Source organism: Homo sapiens, chromosome 2 (assembly GCF_000001405.40).
Source record: "Homo sapiens chromosome 2, GRCh38.p14 Primary Assembly".
Taxonomy (NCBI): domain Eukaryota; kingdom Metazoa; phylum Chordata; class Mammalia; order Primates; family Hominidae; genus Homo; species Homo sapiens.
Window position 1 is genome coordinate 186538221 of NC_000002.12, and position 6400 is coordinate 186544620.

The 6400-nt window shown below is 39.5% G+C and overlaps 2 annotated features.

The window, feature by feature from the left end:
• Positions 3778-4287: an enhancer, noted in NCBI's record as "H3K27ac hESC enhancer chr2:187406725-187407234 (GRCh37/hg19 assembly coordinates)". NCBI's record gives its function as "activates a minimal SCP1, AML or CMV promoter by ChIP-STARR-seq in primed H9 embryonic stem cells {active_cell/tissue: H9 hESC(primed)}" and the evidence as "EXISTENCE:reporter gene assay evidence [ECO:0000049][PMID:30033119]".
• Positions 4288-4795: an enhancer, noted in NCBI's record as "H3K27ac hESC enhancer chr2:187407235-187407742 (GRCh37/hg19 assembly coordinates)". NCBI's record gives its function as "activates a minimal SCP1, AML or CMV promoter by ChIP-STARR-seq in primed H9 embryonic stem cells {active_cell/tissue: H9 hESC(primed)}" and the evidence as "EXISTENCE:reporter gene assay evidence [ECO:0000049][PMID:30033119]".

Below are 6400 nucleotides of genomic sequence, written 5' to 3' on the forward strand. Positions count from 1 at the left end.
AAGACTATCTTTGCGCTATTTACTGCCTTTGCTTCTTTGTCAAAAACTAGTTGGCAATGTAAAAATATGTATGTGGGTCTATTTCTGGACTTTCTCTTCCATCTCAATGATCTATTTATCTATTCTTTCACCAGTACCACACTGCCTAGATTACTCTAGGTTTGTAGTAAATCTTGAAGTCGTTTATAATCAGTGCTCTTTGTTCTTCTCCTTTAACATTATGTTGGCCATTCTGGGTCTTTTGCCTCTTCATATAACTCTAGGGTCAGTTTATCAATATCCAGAAAATCTTCTGCTGGGATTTTGATTGGCATTGCATTTAACTTATAGATTAAGTTGAGAAGAATTGACATCTTGGCATATTGAATCTTCCTTTCTGTGAACATGGAATGTCTATTTATTTAGTTCTTTGATTTCATCAAAGTTTTATAGCTTTCCTTATACAGATCTTGTGCATATTTTGTTAGATATATTCCTACGTGTTTCATTTTTGGGGTGCCAATGTAAATGGTATTGTGTTTTTATTTTATTTTGTTTCTATTTTTATTTTGTTGTTGTTGTTGTTGCACAGGCTGGAGTGCAGTGGTGCGATCTCAGCTTACTGCCACCTCTGTCTCCTGCGTTCAAGCAATTCTCCTGCCCTCAGCCTCCCTAGTAGCTGGGTTTACAGGTGCCTGCCACCTCATCTGGCTAATTTTTGTATTTTAGTAGAGACAGGCTTTCACCATGTTGGCCAGGCTGGTCTCAAACTCCTGACCTCAGGCAATCCACCCACCCTGGCCTCCCAAACTGCTGGGATTACAGGCATGAGCCATTGTGCCCAGCTGGTATTGTGTTCTTCATTTCAAATTCCACTTATTAATTACTGTTATGTAGGAAACTAATTGACTTTTATATATTAACCTTTTGTCCTGCAACATTGCTATAATTACCTATTAGTTCCAGGAGTAGGGAGGAGGTTTGTTGATTCTTTTGGATTTTCTCCCTAGACATTCATGTCATCTGCAAACAAAGACAGTTTTATTTCTTCCTTTTAATCATAATACCTTTTGTTTCCTCTTCCTGTCTTATTGTTTTGGTAGAACCTTCCAGTATGGTACTGAAAAGGAATGGTGAGAGGGGACATCTTTACCTTGTTTCTGATCTTAGTGGGAAAGCTTCTAGTTTCTCACTATTAAGTATGATGTTAACTATAAGTGTTTTGTAGATAGTCTTATCAATTTGAGGAAGCTCCTCTCTGTTGCCTTTTTGCTAAAAGTTTTTTTGTTTGTTTGTTTTGTTTTGTTTTGAGATGAAGTCTCATTCTCTTGCCCAGGCTGGAGTGCAGTGGCATGATCTCAGCTCACTGCAACCTCTGCCTCCTGGGTTCAAGCAATTCTCCTGCCTCAGCCTCCTGAGTAGCTGGGATTACAGGCACATGCCACCATGCCTGGCTAATTTTTGTATGTTTAGTAGAGACGGAGTTTCACCATGTTGGTCAGGTTGGTCTCAAACTCCTGACCTCGTGATCTGCCCACCTCGGCCTCCCAAAGTGCTGGGATTACAGGCGTGAGCCACCACGCCCAGCCTTAAAAGTTTTTATTATGAGTGAGTGTTGAATTTTGTCAAATGCTTTTTCAGCATCTACTGATATAATCACGTGACTTTTCTTCCTTAGTATGTTGATGTAATGGATTATATTAATTGATTTCCAAATGTTGAACCAGCCTTGTATTTCTAGGATAAATTCTCTTTGGTTATGGTCTATAATTTCCTTTAATACATTGTTGGATTTGATTTGCTACATAATTGAATACATTATTACTATTGTTATTTTGAACAAACCATATTTGTTAGCTCAATTAAGAATAAGGAAAATGAAAGTTTTAACTATATTTATTCCTTCTTGATGTTTTTTTCTTTTTCTTTTTCTTTTTTTTTTTTTTTTTGAGATGGAGTCTCACTGTCACCCAGGCTAGAGTGCAATGATGTGAACTCAGCTCACTGCAACCTCTGCTTCCCGGGTTCAAGCGATTTTCCCACCTCAGCCTCCCAAGTAGCTGGGATTACAGGCATCCGCCATCATGCCCAGCTAAATTTTGTATTTTTGTAGAGACGGGGTTTCTCCATATTGGCCAGGCTGGTCTTGAACTCCTGACCTCAGGTGATCCGCCTGCCTTGACCTCCCAAAGTGCTGGAATTACAGGCATGAGTCACTGCACCCGGCTTTCTTGATGTTCTTTTCTTTATTTATATCTCAGCTTCTGACATATCATTTTCCTTCTTTTCTAAATAACTTCTTTTAACATTTCTTGCATGGCAGAGCTTCTAGCAACAAATTCCCTCAACTCTGTTTGTCTGAGACAGTATTTCTCCTTCACTTTTGGAGAATAATTTTGCAGAGTATTCAGTTCTAGGTCAGTGAGGTTTTTTTTCTCTCAACACTTTAAATATTTACTCCACTCTGCTTGCATGGTTTTTGAGCAGTCAGATGTAGCTCTTATCTTTGCTCCTCTATAAGTAAGGTAATTTTTTCCTCTGGCTTATTTCAAGACTTCTTTTTAAACTTTTGATTTTCTGCAGTTTGAATATGATATGTCTAGTTATAGTTTTTTGGTTTTTGCTTCTTTGGTGAATGATGAACTGCAAGTCTGCTTCTTTAGATCTCAATAAAAGTGGAGGAAACTCCTTTTAACTTTAGGGAACCCCCTTCATCCAAAAGAACACTGTGGAATTTTATTCAAACCCAAATGAGAAAGAGGCAGACTTTAAACACATAATCTCTCATACTTCAATGATGAAAGGAGAAACATGCCAAGAAAATGACAAACACTTAATGCAAATCAGAAAATTCTGCAACTTTGTTGAAAATAGTCTCGGTTTTTTCTGCTGTAATTGGTTTAGTGTTGCAGGATTGACTATAATCCCTGCTCAAAATCAGCCTTAGAGCTGTTTTCGTACTACCAGTTTCAGAAGTCTAGAGTTACATGGCGGCTTGCTGCATAACTTAAGTGTTCCGTGTTCACTGGCCACAAAATTACTTCCATATTCTTATTTGCAATCTTTTGTCAAAGAAAGTGCAGTTTCAGTGTGTGCTGCTTTTACAGAGTTCCATCAGAGTTTCTCTATTTTCTTGTTAATTCAGTGACTCTCATATTTGTCAAGAAGATCTTCATTTCCTAAAATATCATAAGGCCCTCTTTTAGAGAAGAGAGAAGATAATCTTTTTATGAGGTAACAAGGCATTTTTTGGTCATACAAATGAGCAAACGAAGTCTAGTGCTTAAAAGCATGGTTCTGCAGCCAGACTATTCAGAATCAGCTCCCACCTTTCTTCACTACCACTAGCTGTGCATCCTTGGAATTTTCTCTTGGTTTCTCCTTTGTAAAATTGGCATAATAGGTTTGGGTGTCAGGATTAACCAAACATACACATTATAAGATTTTTAGGACCATACTTGACAGAATATACACTCAAATATTATACATCACAATTAAATAAATAACACATGAATGGATTATAGTATTTTTGTAGTTTTCTTCCTAAGTGTAGCTTGCCTTGGGATTCAGCATGACTAAAACACATTTGCATACCTACATCCTTTTTTACCTTTTTTTTTCTTTTTTTTCTTGTGTGGGTTTTTTTTGGCCTTCTCGCAAATAATCCTGGGCTTGTCCCTACAAAAACTAAATGCCTTGGGTTTGTCCCTATAGAAACTCTCTTGTTATCTTAAGGATAGCTCAGTGTTTGAGGGGTGAAAAAGACAAAGCAGAGATGCCTCAGGTAAGATCTTGAGTTCATATTCTCTGACATATACTGGTTGGTTTGTGTTGAGTTAGGGTTGAGTTAATATGTATAAAGTGCTTAAAACAATGCCTGGCTGAAGTGTTTGTTTTCCGTTAGGAGAGAGGGAGAGACAGGAAGAAAGTAGCAAAGAATCTGAGAGGGAACTATCTCCAGTTATCCGAGTCATTACCAAATCCTCCTAACTACCTTGGGGTTGCATCACCCTTTCTCCAAGTTACCTGAACACACTATGCTGTCTCCTGTATCAGGAGCCCTATGAATGCTTGTTGTTCTGCCTGGAATGCTCTTGCCATTGCCAACTCACCCACTCTTTCACCCTTTTTTTTTTCTTTTTTTTGAGACAGAGTTTTGCTCTCACCCAGGCTGGAGTTAAGTGGCGAGATCTCGACTCACTGCAACCTCTGCCTCCCGGGCTCAAGCAATTCTCCTACCTCAACCTCCCAAGTAGCTGGGATTACAGGCATGCACCACCACACCCATCTAATTTTTGTATTTTTAGTAGAGACGGGGTTTCACCATGTTGGGCAGGCTAGTCTTGAACTCCTAACCTCAAGTGATCCACCCGCCTTGGCCTCCCAAAGTGCTGGGATTACAGGTGTAAGCCACGGCGCCTGGCCTACTCTTTCATTTTTTAACCCCTGCTCCTCCTTCAGATCTTAGCACAGATGTTGGTCCTTCCTGAGAGAAGGTTTTCTTTGACTCCTAAGTCCTTTGTTATAAGGACACTTCATAGTACTTAACTTTGTCTGAGATTGTGTTTATGATTATTTGGTTAGTCTGTCCACCTGTGGTTAGTCTCAGACATGCTAACCAATCTGTAAATATTTATTAAATAATAAATCAATATTTCTCTCACACTCACAATTTGAAAATTTTCTTCTTCTCCCTAACTTCTTCACTGTGAATGTCTGAACAGTGACTTAAAGAAGTAGCCGCAGGAGAAAAGAGTTGGGGGCTATTTCATCATGTGGCTACATCATCTCATGGTTACATCATTTCATGGCTACATAACTAGGGCAAAAGGAAAAAAGGCATAAATCTTTTTTTTTTTTCTTTTTTGAGACGGAGTGTCGCTCTGCCACCCAGGCTGGAGTGCAGTGGCGCGATCTCGGCTCACTGCAACATCCGCCTTCTGGATTCATTCCATTCTCCTGCCTCCTCCCAAGCAGCTGGGACTACAGGTGCCCGCCACCACACCCGGCTAATTTTTTGTATTTTTAGTAGAGACGGGGTTTCACCGTGTTAGCCAGGATGGTCTCGATCTTCTGACCTTGTGATCTGCCCGCCTTGGCCTCCCAAAGTTCTGGGATTACAGGCATAAGCCACCGTATCCGGCTCTTTTTTTTTTTTTTCTTTTAATTTGAGACAGAGTTTTGCTCTTGTTGCCCAGGCTGGAGTTCAGTGGCGCAATCTCGGGTCACTGCAACCTCCGCCTCTCGGGTTCAAGCGATTCTCCTGCCTCAGCCTCCCAAGTAGCTGGGATTATAGGCATGCACCACCACCCTTGGCTAATTTTGTAATTTTAGTAGAGACAGGATTTCACTACGTTGGACGGGCTAGTCTTGAACTCCTGACTTCAGGTAATCCATCTGCCTTGGCCTCCCACAGTGCTGGGATTACAGGCATGAGTTACCGCGCCCAGCCATAAATCTCCTTTGACAAAGTGTAGGATACAAGATTTGGAAGTGTTCCTACAGACTCTCTAGTCCAACTTCTTTGGTACTGACAACACAAGAAAATTCATCATTTAGTGTGTGGGTTGAGGACTTTATCCAGCCACCTTCCAAGCAACAACTCCATATACAAAAAAAAAAAATGTGTTTTAAACTATAAGAGCTTAAATGTGACTCATCAACATCTGCTTTCATTAAATATTTTTCTCTCAGAGACTAAAACCACTTACAAAGTTAGAATAATACTTGCAACTTAACACATGGCAAAGGACAAGTCTTTTATGCCACTTTCTTTGTAATTCTCTCATTTTAAATCTTAAATGACTTTCCTCTATCACAGGACTTTTGTGAGGAATGTTTGAAAGGATCTGTTGACTCATAGCTGCAGAACTGCTTAAGTTTGCTTTAATAAGGGAATAATCAAACGCACATCTAATTTAAGTGGAAAACCACTATATTTTGATATTGTAACCTGAGTATTAGAGGATTAAAAGAATTCCAGGCTGAGGGGAGAAAACTCAAAGTTTATTTTGGTCATCTTTCTTTTTAGTCTCCCTTCTTTCTTCCTAAAACAGAGAAATTTTGCCCTGAAACTGCCTCCTCATTGCCCAGAGCCTTCCGTAATAGTTCTTCAAATAACAGGGCCCTGTGCTGTGTTTCAAACTTTGCTTACTTTATCTGTACATCTCATTCCTGCTCTGTTCTTTCTCTACTCAGTTAAAAAAAAAAGGAAAAACATTTCATTGAAGAACATAATCATTGTTAATGTGTTGATAGGCTAACATCCTGTTTCAACAAGATAATAATACCCTTCACCCAGTTAAAATCTCACATTCCAGAAAGTCCCTCAGGAATGACTAATCTGGGGAATTCCAGTCATGGCATCAGACTCCTGGGTTGAAGTATATTTTAGCAGTTCAGGCTTTCTCTCCTTATCCTT